At 35.9% G+C, this 15,087-nt stretch overlaps 1 protein-coding gene across 17 annotated transcripts in view; it reads left to right on the top strand.

Annotated features, from left to right (window-relative positions):
- The window catches only part of SEM1 (SEM1 26S proteasome subunit), a 228,221-nt gene that overhangs the window by 15,586 nt on the left and 197,548 nt on the right, over positions 1-15,087 (top strand). For 2 of the 17 annotated variants that reach the window (NM_001393906.1, NM_006304.2), the window contains one exon: positions 5,295-5,499. The exons of the other annotated variants lie outside the window; for them this stretch is intronic. In NM_001393906.1, the coding sequence (NP_001380835.1) occupies positions 5,295-5,305 (11 nt within the window). In that variant the 3' untranslated portion in view covers positions 5,306-5,499. Of the gene's footprint in view, positions 1-5,294; positions 5,500-15,087 lie in introns of those variants that run through there. 17 annotated transcript variants of the gene reach the window in all.

Genomic DNA, 15,087 nt, shown 5'->3' with positions numbered 1-15,087 from the left:
GTTCCAGTATTTTCAGCATCCCAAAAGGAAACACAGTACTTGTTAAGCAGTCATTCCACGTTCTTTCTTGCCCTAATCCCTGGCCGCTGCTGATCTGCTTTCTATCTCTAAGTATTTGCCTGTTTTGGAAGCTTCATATAAATGAAATCATACAATATTGTGACCTTGCGTGCGTACCTTTTTTCACTTAGCATAATGTTTTCAAGGTTCATTCATGTTGTACCATGCATCAGTACTTCATTCCTTTTTATGGCTGAATAATATTCATATACATGTTCCATATTGTATATTCCAATTTATAATAATACTATATGGATATGCCACGTTTTATACATTCATCAGTTGATGGACATTCAGACTGTTTCCACCTTTTAGCTATTGTGGATAGTGCTGCTATGAACGTACGTGTACATATATTTGAGTACCTGTTTTCAATTCTTTTGAAAAGAAATTTTATATATATATATATACACACACACACACACACACACACACACACAAGTGGAATTGTTGGGTCATACGTTAATTCTATATTTAACTTTTTGAGGAGCTGCCAAGCTGTTTTCTACAGCAGTTGAACAATTTATGTTCTCACTAGCGTTCGTACTAGCAGGGTGTGAAGGTTTCAGTCTCTCCACATCCTTGCCAAAACTTATTTTTCTTTTTTGTTTTAAATTATAGCCGTATTTTAATCTATTTTTTCTTTTGTTATTTGTGCTTTTGGTGTCATATTTAAGAATTCATTGGCAAATTCAATGTAATGAAGATTTATCTTTGTTTTCTTCTAAGAGCTTTATAGTTTTTGCTCTTACATGTCAGTCTTTGCTTTGGGTTAATTTTTGTATATGTTATGAAATAGGGCTTCAGCTCATTCTTCTGCATATAGATGTCTAGTCTTTCCAGCACCATTTGTTGAAGAGACTTTTTTCCCTCCTAATTTTATTTTGATTCAGGCTGTATTTATTTGTCTTGGCTACAAGAATAAATAGACTGTCATATACTTTGCTCAAGTAAAGATATAGAAGATATATGTATTCCAGTCTTCTAATTTACTAGTCTAGTAAGCTTGTTCAAACAGAAAGTGAAATAGTTTATAATAAATTTTTAAACTTTGATTTCTAATAGTAATGCAGTAGCACCAGCTCCTACACTGCATTTTTTTTTATTGGCTCTATAAAGACTTAGAATTTTGCTGGAGACTGATAATAATTTTACCTATCTACTTTTTTTCTCATTTTTAGAAATAGTATAATTTACCTTTCACTGTTATACTGATACTTCTACAGTTTTTCATTTCCGTGTCTCAAATATTGCTGACTGATTTTTGACTACATCTTTTGGTTCTTCTAGTACCCTGAGATGTAATTATCCAGAGCCTTGAGATTTTAAACTGCCTTAATGCAGTTATCTTACCTGTCTTAGTTTTCAATTTTGTCTTAATTATGTTGTTTTTCCTTTTATAGTTTTATGGACAAGATAAAAATGATAGCTATTGAACAATAATCCTGCTTTTTCTCTAAAATCTGTTAATGTTACATCATCTGTTCCAAGCATTGTACCTGCTCTTTCTCATTCTTCATGATCAGTATATGGCTCTTAGAAGCCCCTTCTGTTCTTTTTACAGATTTCAGTTTATTTCGAGGATCAGATTAATTCTATGTGTACAAGCTCATGCCCTTTCTTTTTATATCTGTCTTTGTTTTATGTCCTTCAAAAAATGAGCCACATTAGAGAACACCCTACTAGCTTTTGAAAAATATACATTCCCTTTTGTTCCGCCTTGGCATCATTATGCTATTAGACTATTTATTTTCAGGTCTTCCAAATGCTGTTGATCTCTACTCTGTGTTTTTAATCACGTGTCAGAGTTTTCTTCCTGATATGTTTTTGACATTTTGAAATTGAGGCTAAACAAGTTTTCTTCCTTTGACATTCAAAATAGTCAAATTTCTTTGAAGTTTTGTTTCTTTTATGTCTTTCATTAGCACTTTTCTCTTAAAACTGATTGATACATTGTTGAATACTATAATTTTTACCAAGAAACTTTCAGTAGTAAATGTATTGATAATTAGATTTCACATCATTACATGTTGCCTTTTTATTGCTTTAGAAATAGAACATTATATATTTGTGGCTTACTGTTTTTATAATACACCCCCACAGTGCCATTATGTACTCTTGTGTTTCTGCCTTTAGGTTTGTGGATTTCTATAGGTATATAAATCTATTTTTGTTGTTTTTTCACTGTTGTTGTTTTTTGCCTGAGGTATATAAATCTTGATGCCTCCATTAGTGAATAAGATTTTTCTTTTTATTTCCCCATTTGAGTCATGAGTTCTTTCTTCACTAAGATTGTTGCCACATTGCCAGTGGTGTCAAATAGAACTTGCTGTAGTGATGGAAATGTTTGAGAAGCTGCTGTATAGAAGCAATCAGTTACATTTGGCTACTAAGCACATGAAATGTGGCTAGCACAGCTAAGGGACTGAATTTTTTGTTTTATTCAATTAAAATAGCCACATATGACTACCATATTGAATAAAACAGCCTCGCACAATCCTTGCTTTAAAAAATTTGTCTTGATTAAAAGACTCACACAAAGTTATTCTTCCTAGTCTTTTCTGTAAAGTACATGGAAACCCTTAACATAATATCATAAGTCATGGTAAAGAATGGAGTTTACTGTTGTCTGATGTTATTTGGTCCTAATCCTATTTAACAGTGGAGAGGCATCTCAGACTCTAGTGTGAATCAGATTGCTGGGGTTCCAACCCCAGATCTGCCTCCTATTTAGCCATATGAACCTTGGGCAACTCACTTAGCCTTTCTGTGACCTACTTTTGTCACACATAAAACTCAGATGATAATTAGTGCTTTACTGCTAGAGTTATTATAACGTTTAAGTGATTTAACATGTGTAGAGTGCTTAGACTGTGGTGTGTGTGTGTTAAATAAAAACTGTCCATGTCGCAGGCCCCCCACTTTCCACATTCGTCTTTCTCTTTCCGTGTAATTACCTTTAACAGAAGTAGAAAGAATAAGGCCACTTTGTTCTTCCAGGTAACTCAAAGTCATTCTGATTTTGCAGCTTCTGATATCATTTGTTTATGTATTAAGAGAAATAGGTAGTAGTATGATTTTTCTCAACCCTATTTCACGTCTTACATAAAAACTCTAAGAAGCCAGTATAGGCCAGGCGCAGTGGCTCACACCTGTAACCCCAGCACTTTGGGAGGCCGAGGCCGGTGGATCACGAGGTCAGGAGATCGAGACCATCCTGGCTAACATGTTGAAACCCCGTCTCTACTAAAAATACAAAAAAATTAGCTGGGCCTGGTGGCGGGCGCCTGTAGTCCCAGCTACTAGGGAGGCTGAGGCAGGACAATGGCATAAACCTGGGAGGTGGAGCTTGCAGTGAGCCGAGATGGCACCACTGCACTCCAGCCTGGGCAACAGAGCGAGACTCCATCTCAACAACAACAAAAAAATCCAGTATAGTTCCTGATTTACCAAATCAGATATAGCCATTGTCATAAAGCTGAGTAGTTTCTTGGATAGTAAGAGGACTTTTCAAACCTACTAGTGGCCATTAGTCTTTTTTCTTGTTTTGTTGCACAAAGACTGCTGCTGTTTTCGTTTCAGATAGTGTATGTTCACTGTGTATGTCGTATGATATTAACAGTTGTGCTGAGGTTTTCTATTTTTGTCTTTGTTGATTTTTCCACTCAGCAGCCTCATGATTATTAGTGTTTTTGTTTTGTACTTGGTGGCCTCAATTTTTTTCTTTTGGTTTTTTAAATTCTAGCAAAGAATTTTTCATCTTTTCTAAGAATTTAGCTGATAGAAGAGCATTTCATCATCTTGTTTGTGATTGTAAACAATTTATACATGCAGTTAGTGACCAGCCACCTCCCATTAGGAAAGCCAATAGACACAAACCTGAAGGACAGATTTGGTATACTTGTTACTTAAATTGTAGGTTGAACTTTGGGGTTTTTTTGTTCATTGTTTTTGTTGCTGCTGTTAAAGTGAATATTCTACAGAGTAGAAAACTAAGGTTTAAGAAAGTTGTAAAATTACTTTTATTTTAAATAAATTATAAAATTTTAACATGAGATAAAATTCAAAGACAGTTACCACATTCCCTCAAGATTGGCAGCAAGAGTTTTTGTATGAAACATTTGAGTTTTCTGTGATCATCAGAATCTTTTAGCTTTTCCTTTCAGCCTTGACTCTTATTTTAATGTATACTACATTACATTTGTATAACTTTCTCTCATTTAGCTCTCAAAACAATGGAGATAAGTTGTTATAAATGAAGGGCAGATACTATAATCTCCAGTTTCCTGAGGGGCAGGGGAAGGGCCCAAAGGAAGCAAATTAGTTAGCAAAGGAAGGGCCAGAGTCAGAGTCTTGCACTGGAGTCTTGACTCCTAATCCAGGGTTTATACCACCACCCCATAGCAGAAGACAAGGATGATTCATTTGAACAATCTGTGGCCTTGATATAATTTATGGAAATTAGCTCACTATTTGTATTCTAAATAACTAAAAATTTTAGGAAAGCAAAGGAGTTTTGAGAAATGAATGCTAAATACTATACATTATTCCGGTCATGTGTTTGCATTGGAATAGTGTAGTGGTGTCTAAGCCAAATTTACTTGAGAACAAATGTCTATCTTATTGGATGTAATGATGTAAAGCATATTAATCATACTTTAAGTTTACTCAGTGTTTTATCATGGATTAGCCATCTACTAATTTTGTCATAAACTTTGAATTGTGGCAAATAAGGTTAGAGCAATACATATATGTCAATATGGAAAGCAATCTGTTTATTCTTTCTGCATATACAACAGTAATATAGTAATACCTGTTATGATCATTGTAAAATCCCTAAAGGTTTGATAGTGATGTGTACTTTGCCTGAGGTTAATGAGTCTCAAAACTTATGTTTAAATATTTATTAGGAACAGAACATTCATATAGCATTTGGAAAGTATTTGAAGGATAGCAGTAAGTCCCTCACATTTCTTCCACAAATAGACTTATAAGAAAATTAAGGAAGATAAAATACAAGTTAAATAATGGGAAAAACAAAATTTTATAGTATTATATTGACTCATATCCAATTTTCTTATGTTTTTTTTTCAGAGACAAAAGTAAAACTATTCAGTGGTATTGTAAATTGATGTCTCAGGCATAGCTCATTTATTTGTTTATTTATTGTATTGTTTCTAAAAGAATGTTTATTATAAAGAATACCTAGTGATGTTCTTTCTGTTTTATCTTAGAGCTGAACTAGAGAAACATGGTTATAAGATGGAGACTTCATAGCATCCAGAAGAAGTGTTGAAGTAACCTAAACTTGACCTGCTTAATACATTCTAGGGCAGAGAACCCAGGATGGGACACTAAAAAAATGTGTTTATTTCATTATCTGCTTGGATTTATTTGTGTTTTTGTAACACAAAAAATAAATGTTTTGATATAATCTTGGTTTGGTTCAGAAGTCTTAATCTTTTGCTTCTAATCAATTTTCTTGTCATGATTTTCCAAAACCTTATTATATATAGATAGTAAAATTTCATATTATGAAATTTTCTTTTTTTTTTTTAATGTTAACTGAGTGAGGCTCAGGTTAAATGATCTGGAGTAGATTTCACCTGATTCCCAATTCAGTACTTTTCTTAAACCACATCAATTAATTGTTACTTCTATTTTATAAGGAATTTCTTTTACATCACATTGAACCTTAATCTCTTCTGTATTTTGATAGCTTAGGCAACATTTGCTGACATTTATAAGGTGACCTTTCAAAACCTGTGTTTTAAAAATATTAATCATTTTAAATTGCTGTAATTTACTTAGTTCCTGAGCCATTAATAATATTATTAATGGTTGTTAGCGTATTATTGGTACTTAAAGTCCAAAGTAGTTTAATCACAGTAAGAATGGTGTCTTCTATTAAAATTGAGGAAGTGGGCTCAAGATACTTTATCAACAAGTGCATATTTTCAGGTACTACATAGCAGGCTCATTTAGTACAACTGAGTTTTCACAGAGTGATAGCTGTTGCCACATCACTTTTGTGAATGGGAGATTTAATTTGGTTTGTAAAGGATTCTTTGTGATGACTTAAATGTACGGGGTATTTTTTAGGAATATTTTCAAATGTAAATGTTGTTACTAAGAACTACAATCAATCTGTAGTGTTGAGTAATTTCAAATGTAAAATTTATGTAACAATGCAGTGCAGATACCAAAATAGGGGTTGGTGGCCTGAAATACAAGTTATACTTCAAAATGATTTTGAGCATAAATATGTTTCTGTTTTTAAGACAAGCATAAACCTACCTTGCCTGCCTAACGGAACTGCTAGATGATCAAATGGAATAAGGAACACCAAAGAACTTTGGAAAGTATAAAAGTTTTGAATGGATAAGTGATACTTTTTTTCTTTTTTTTTAAATTATTATTATACTTTAAGTTTTAGGGTACATGTGCACAATGTGCAGGTTAGTTACATATGTATACATGTGCCATGCTGGTGTGCTGCACCCATTAACTCGTCATTTAGCATTAGGTATATCTCTTAATGCTATCCCTCCCCCCTCTCCCCACCCCACAACAGTCCCCAGAGTGTGATGTTCCCCTTCCTGTGTCCATGTGTTCTCATTGTTCAATTCCCATCTATGAGTGAGAACATGCGGTGTTTGGTTTTTTGTCCTTGCGATAGTTTACTGAGAATGATGATTTCCAATTTCATCCATGTCCCTACAAAGGACATGAACTCATCATTTTTTATGGCTGCATAGTATTCCATGGTGTATATGTGCCACGTTTTCTTAATCCAGTCTATCGCTGGACATTTGGGTTGGTTCCAAGTCTTTGCTATTGTGAATAGTGCTGCAATAAACATACGTGTGCATGTGTCTTTATAGCAGCATAATTTATAGTCCTTTGGGTCTATACCCAGTAATGGGATGGCTGGGTCAAATGGTATTTCTAGTTCTAGATCCCTGAGGAATCGCCACACTGACTTCCACAATGGTTGAACTAGTTTACCGTCCCACCAACAGTGTAAAAGTGTTCCTGTTTCTCCACATCCTCTCCAGCACCTGTTGTTTCCTGACTTTTTAATGATTGCCATTCTAACTGGTGTGAGATGGTATCTCATTGTGGTTTTGATTTGCGTTTTTCTGATGGCTAGTGATGATGAGCATTTTTTCGTGTGTCTTTTGGCTGCATAAATGTCTTCTTTTGAGAAGTGTCTGTTCATATCCTTCACCCACTTTTTGATGGGGTTTGTTTTTTTCTTGTAAATTTGTTTGAGTTCATTGTAGATTCTGGATATTAGCCCTTTGTCAGATGAGTAGGTTGCAAAAATTTTCTCCCATTCTGTAGGTTGCCTGTTCACTGTGATGGTAGTTTGTTTTGCTGTGCAGAAGCTCTTTAGTTTAATTAGATCCCATTTGTCAATTTTGGCTTTTGTTGCCATTGCTTTTGGTGTTTTAGACATGAAGTCCTTGCCCATGCCTATGTCCTGAATGTTAATGCCTAGGTTTTCTTCTAGGGTTTTTATGGTTTTAGGTCTAATATTTAAGTCTTTAATCCATCTTGAATTAATTTTTGTATAAGGTAAGTGATATTTTTATAAATATAATGAAGCACAGGCAGCTATGTTGATGTTGTAACATGCTAAGAAGTATTTTGATGTGCATTTTCTCAATATTTTGGTCTGTGGTTACAGGATGTGGTCACCCTAACAGTGTCAGATTACTGACAGTATTAAGTGATGGCCTGAATGATGGCCACTTAATGTGATGATTTTAAATTATTGAGGTATAATTTTGAAACCTCATAGGAGTTGAGCAGAGGCTTTAATGGGTTATTTGTAGTTATCCAGTGTTTTGTCCTTAATTAAATATCAAAATTTAGGTAGTAGTTGTTAAGGATTGGGTACCCGAAAATTGGTATTTGACATCAGGATGATAAAAACACATCTGAAGTAGGAAAGGAGATTAGTCAGGCAGATGAAAAAAATTATTATTTGAAATTTTACAATTTGTAGATTTCTCTCATTTGACCTTCACAGTGACCCACCCTGTGAAGCAGGGAGGAGAGGCCTGTTTATTGTAAACAATTTTGTCAAATAGAAAACAGTCTCAGAGTAAGTTAGGAAGTAAAAGGGCCCAGGATTGCAACAGCTAATAGGTGGCATATACAGAGCTAGAATCTAGGTTTCCGGACTCTTGGGTTTCTTGCAGATATTTTGGAAAGTGCATGAGTTCTGATGTTACTTCAAGGTTTGACTCATAATTAGACCACTTATTAGTTGTGTGTTAAGTTTCAGAACAGCCTATTAACAGTTTTCCTGTTCTATAAAATGGAAAGAATCCCTGCAGGGCTGAGCTGAAGATTAGCATGTGATAATATAGTGGTGGTAATCAATCAATTTTTTTTTTTTTTTTTTTACTGAGCCATGCTACCACTTATATGGGAGTTGCCTTACCTCCCCTTAATAACTGATGCTTACTATGTACCAGACGTTGTTCTCAGCTATTTATATGTGTTAATCTTCACAACAACCCTGAGATAGGTAATGTTATCATGTACATTTCATATATGAAGAAAAGCACCAAGATGCTGAATAATTTGCCCATAGTCACTCAGGAAGTGGTTCCAAACAAAACGAAACAAAAAACGTCTTCAATGGAAGGGACTATTCTGCACAACTTAGGGTTTCTCTTTCAACAGCACTTAATATAGTCTTACATAAATGCTCCTTAAATTTTAGTTGAGTAGCTACACAGAAAAAATGAAGTTTGCTGCAAATTTACTCCATGGTAGAAGTTTTTATTGATACAGACATAAATGTTTCTGTTAGCAATGACTCCCTTTTTTCCCCTATAATTTTTCATAATTATTTTCCAAAATTCAGTTCTGTTTGAAATGAAATTGTAGATGTAATAATGGTCAGCATTTTTCATTAGGCCTTGGCATAGAATTGCTGTAGGGGATGGCATGTCCATCCTATTCCCACTAAAAGTTTAGAGGACTATCATAATGAGCCAAGTCCCTTTTGAAAGATTGAATGTTATATTAATAATGCTTTCTACAGCATGTTGTCGTCTGCACTGTATATTTTTAAACATTTATATCCTTCCTGTTCCACACTTCCCATTTTGAGAGAGGTAACACATCCCACCCACTTGGCAGAGAGCTGACAATTAGCACCACCCTCATTCCACCCATACACATGATGCTGGGGGACTGGCCTTGGATTTTCCAGCTACCTTAATGGCTCCTATTGCACTCTGCCTTTAAGTGTCCTGAGTTTACTTCTTGCTGTATCCATATGTTCTCTTTAGTAATCTCACCAGTGTCAGTTGCTTTTAAACCAATTCCACATGTATGATTCCAAATCTCCTGTTTTGACCTCTCCCTGAAACTCTAATCTCATATATTCAACTAACAACTTGATTACCTCTCCATGTCTGAGTTAAAATTAACTTGATGAGAAGAGAACCCTTCATTATCCTTCTCAAACCTGATCTTTCCTCCAGTCTTCCCCACCTCAGTAAATAGACCCACATTCAACCCAATTGTTTAAGCCAAAAATATAGAAACTTATTGAATCTTCTGTTCTCCCAATATCCAATCCATTGGTGAGCCCTATCAACTCTGCCTCAAATGCATATTTCATGTAGTTAGTACAGTGCTTGCCTTTTCCATTCTTCCCTTCCCCTTTCCTAATGAATCCTCATCTCCCCTGCCTCCCCCGCCCCCCAAACGGTTAGATATCCATCTTTCTTTCACATGGGCCAAGCCTTCTTTCACAAGGCAAGCCAACACCATTCCCAGCTCAGGGTGGGGTGTGTTTCATCTTAAGCCAATCTTAGTAATCCCGTGCCCCGTACAAGTGATTGGATACAAGGATGGACAGCTTTAAATAAATTTGGGGCAATGAATCAAAAGTGGGGCTAGAAGCATCTGGCAGAGAAAAATCCTGCTTCATAAAATAGCACACAAAGCCAGCCTTTCCCTCCAAATATAAATAAGGGAGCATGTAGTCTCAATTGCTAGTGACAGTCATATAACAACTATTGCAGTTTGAGGGTGAAGATTAGAAAGTCTGGAAGAGGATTCTTTGATGATGTCATTGAACTTGCTCTAGGACAAGGCCTCCTGTAAAACAAGCCTACAAACGTCCTTATTTTTAATTTTTTTTAATTATACTTTAAGTTCTGAGTTACATGTGCAGAATGTGCAAGTTTGTTACATAGGTATACATGTGCCATTGTGGTTTGCTGACCCATCAACCCATCATCTACATTAGGTATTTCTCCTAATGCTATCCCTCCCCTAGTCCGCCACCCCCTGACAGACTCCAGTGTGTGATCTCCTCCCTGTGTCCATGTATTCTCACTGTTCAACTTCCACTTATGAGTGAAAACATGCGGTGTTTGGTTTTCTGTTCTTGTGTTAGTTTGCTGAGAATGATGGTTTCCAGCTTCCTCCATGTCCCTGCAGAGGACATAAACTCATCCTTTTTATGGCTGCATAGTATTCCATGGTGTATATGTGCCACATTTTCTTTATCCAGTCTATCATTGATGGCCATTTGGGTTGGTTCCAAGTCTTTGCTGTTGTGAACAGTGCTGCAATAAACATACGTGTGCATGTGGCTTTATAGAATGATTTATAATCCTTTGGGTATATACCCAGTAATGGGATTGCTGGGCCAAATGGTATTTCTGGTTCTAGATCCTTGAGGAATCGCCACACTGACTTCCACAATGGTTGAACTAATTTACAGTCCCACCAACAGTGTAAAAGTGTTCCTATTTCTCCACATCCTCTCTGGCATCTGTTGTTTCCTGACTTTTTAGTGATCATCATTCAAACTGGCATGAGATGGTATCTCACTGTGGTTTTGATTTACATTTCTCTAATGACTAGTGATGATGAGCTTTTTTTAAATATGTTTGTTGGCTGTATAAATGTCTTCTTCTGAGAAGTGTCTGTTCATATCATTCACCCACTTTTCTAGTATTTCTAGTTCTATATCCTTGTTTCAAGTATTTCTAGTTCTATATCCTTGAGGAATCGCCACACTGTCTTCCACAATGTTTGAACTAATTTACATTCCCACCAACAGTGTAAAAGCGTTCCTATTTCTACATCCTCTCCAGCATCTGTTGTTTCCTGACTTTTTAATGATCGCCATTCTAACTGGCATGAGGTGGTATCTCATTGTGGTTTTGATTTGCATTTCTCTAATGACCAGTGATAAAGAGCACTTTTTCATATGTTTGTTGGCTGCATAAATGTCTTCTTTTGAGAAGTATTTGTTCATATCCTTTGCCCACTTCTTGATGGGGCTGTTTGTTTTTTTCTTGTAAATTTGTTTAAGTTCTTTGTAGAGTCTGGATATTTTATCTATCCAAAGATAGACAAAGGATACAATGTATCCTTTGTCAGATGGACAGATTGCAAACATTTTCTCCCATTCTGTAGGTTACCTGTTCACTCTGATGATAGTTTCTTTTGCTGTGCAGAAGCTCTTTGGTTTGATTAGATCCCATTTGTCAGTTCTGGCTTTTGTTGCCATTTCTTTGGTGTTTTAGTCATGAAGCCTTTGTTCATGCCTGTGTCCTGAATGTTATCGCCTAGGTTTTCTTTTAGGGTTTTTATGGTTTTACGTCTCAAAATAGTAAGAGCTATTTATGACAAACCCACAGCCAATGTCATACTGAATGGGCAAAAACTGGAAGCATCCCCTTTGAAAACCGGTACAAGACAAGGATGACCTCTCTCACCACTCCTATTCAACGTAGTATTGGAAGTTCTGGCCAGGGCAATCAGGCAAGAGAAAGAAATAAAGGGTATTCACATAGGAAGAGAGGAAGTCAAATTGTCTCTGTTTGTAGATGACATGGTTGTATATTTAGAAAACCCCATTGTCTCAACCCAAAATCTCCTTAAGCTGATAAGCAACTTAAGCAAAGTATCAGGATACATAATCAATGTGCAAAAATCACAAGCATTCCTATACACCAAGAACAGACAAAAAGAGAGCGAAATCATGAGTGAACACCCATTCACAATTGCTACAAAGAGAATAAAATACCTAGGACTACAATTTACAAGGGGTGTGAAGGACCTCTTCAAGGAGAACTACAAACCACTGCTCAAGGAAATAAGAGAGGACACAAACAAATGGAAAAACATTCCATCCTCATAGATTGGAAGAATCAATATCGTGAAAATGGCCATACTGCCCAAAGTAATTTACAGATTCAATGCTGTTCCCATCAAACTACCATTGACTTTCTTCATAGAATTGGAAAAACCTACTTTAAATTTCATATGAAACCAAAAAAGAGCCTGCATAGCCAAGACAATCCTAAGCAAAAAGAACAAAGCTGGAGGCATCACACTACCTGGCTTCAAACTATACTACAAGGCTACAGTAACCAAAACAGCATGGTACTGGTACCAAAACAGATATGTAAACCAATGGAACAGAACAGAGGCCTCAGAAATAACACCACACATCTACAACCATCTGATCTTTGACAAGCCTGACAAAAACAAGCAATGGGGAAAGGATTCCTTATTTAATAAATGGTGTTGGGAAAACTGGCTAGCCATACATAGAAAGCTGAAACTGGATCCCTTCCTTACACCTTACACAAAAATTAACTCAAGATGGATTAAAGACTTAAACGTAAGACCTAAAACCAAACGTCCTTATTTAAGAAATCTTAGGTTGGGTGTTTTGTTACTTGTACCCAGAAACAGCTTAACTGATAAATTAAGAATCTATCTACTCCCACTACTATTATTAGTACTATCACTGTTGCTTATTAGGATTTACTGCAATTATTACCTAGCCAGTCTCCCTACTTCTACTCTTTCTGCCCTATAATCTATTCTAGAAAAAACACCGCATTGTTGAAATTTAGATCATGTCACCATTTTCCTCAAATGCTGTCAGTGCTTCTTAAAAGCAGCATAAAATCTAAACTACTTGTAAAGCCCAATGTAGTCTGGCTCCTGCCAATCTTATTGACACACACCACTTGATTTTCAGTATTGTCATATTTTGATCACTTCTGAAGAGTAAATCAAAGATATATCACCCAAGCAAAAAGTGATTAAACTACATGCAGTTGCTTGAACATGGAAAGGCTAGGTGATTTTGCACCAGTTGTTCCCTGGGATGCTTGCCCTCCTCATCCTCTTAAGTCAGGCCTTCCCTGATCATTTAAGCTAAGGTATCTACTTGATTATTCTACAACACGACCTCCTAAAAATTGCTCTCCAATACTGCCTGATTTTTTGTTCACTGCTGTTGCATTGCAATAGCCAACTCCTTGTGTGTCAGAAACTAATGACAAACAATGGCCAGAATATTGATTTCATTTTGCTCTCCACATATTTGCCTTGAGGGTTGATGGGTTGTCAAAAAGGTTGATACAAGGATAAATTCCATTTTATATTAACCGTAGTTTTAATTCACTGGTCAGGTAGAATCGCTATAATGTTATTCTGATTCCTCTTTAGCTGTCATGAAATTGAAGAAAGCTTATACTCCTACCCTCTTTGTTACCCTTGTAAGACGACTTTCTTAGACTAGGTGACTATTAGAGAAAGTCTTGCCACTTTTCACTGATGAGGATAATATTTAGAGTTACAGGAAGAACCATTAGCTAACATTCCAGTAGTGCACAACACATTTAAAACTCTAGATTATCATCTTTGCCTGGGCCGGCACACCCCTGTTTACAATGTAACATTGTGTATTTCTCCTCTTAGTTACTCTTTTTGTTGTTGGTTGTGTTTATTAATGGTTTTCTGTTATAGACTGTATTCCTTAAAAGTAGAACTCCCATTGTATTCATGTTTATATCCCCTTGTCTTACTGTGGGTTGTCTCAGAAGCAACTTAGAATAGAGATAAGGATTCAAATGTGAGTATTTTATTACAGAAGTACTAGGGGAGTGGGGAAGTGAGTCAGGAAAGAGAGAGAAGCTAAAAAAGAGTGTATATCTAGCAAGTTACACCATAGGGAATTCGACTTCAGTTCCACCTGGGAACTCTAGGAGGCTATATACAACATATCTTAGAGTTATCCTGTCCTAGGGGAGGGGAGTCAGAGTATTTATCAACTCGTCAGTCATTGGTTGAGAGTTACTCAGGAAAATCCCCCAGTATCTTCTGGTATGACCCATGTGTGGGCAGAGTAGGCTCTGGCTACCACAGAAAGTATTCAGACAGAATTACAGTCGCTGGCAGCTGAAAGTGGAGCTTTCCTGCGTGGAAGTGGTAAATGATGAAGAAATAAGGGCAGGGCACCAAGCACATCTGCTACATCACTTGGTGTGTCTTAAATATTTGCTATAAAGTGAATCTTAAAACCATTGAATCAAGAGATCAGAAGAATGATTGGCAGAATCAGCATAGATTAGGAAACAGTAGAGACCTTTTATAACAATGGGAGATGGGCTTTGCCTTTCTTCTTGATTGTGAGTCACAAATCTGTGTAATAAGCCATTTCATATCTAATTGGTTGTATCTAGACAATTTAAACCTTATGTCCTGGCAAAAGAGGTCAATCAGATCACTAATGACTAAGAAATATACTTTTTTATTGCTGCCTATGGTGAAATGTCTTTCAGAAAAATCTTCATAGCTTTTTGCTTTGATTAAAAATAATGGCATCATTAAAGCTCAATAACTTCAACAAATCGATCACCAAGATTAATCCCTTATTTAAGGTATAAATGATGTGCTTTTGTCTATGTTAGGGTTCATAAATAAAGATTTAACAAAGATGTTTTAATTTTTCAAAACTCGTACTCAAAAACAAAGACTCCCGGTTGGTATTTTATGTATAGAAATCCATGGTCCAAGTTAATAGGATGTGTCTTAATGATTTTGATGATGATATTTCAAAGTAGTGGAATGGACAGGATACTGATTTTATGAGAAGAACAATTGCTTCTTTTTGCTAAAGCTAATAAGGCCACTACAATGAGCCACAGAGATGACAATGTGTGTTTATGTCTTTTACTA

The sequence above is a fragment of the Homo sapiens genome, chromosome 7 (assembly GCF_000001405.40).
Source record: "Homo sapiens chromosome 7, GRCh38.p14 Primary Assembly".
In the NCBI taxonomy this organism is placed as follows: domain Eukaryota; kingdom Metazoa; phylum Chordata; class Mammalia; order Primates; family Hominidae; genus Homo; species Homo sapiens.
The sequence above is the reverse complement of the archived record's forward strand: the minus strand, read 5'-3'. Positions and strand labels throughout refer to the sequence as shown.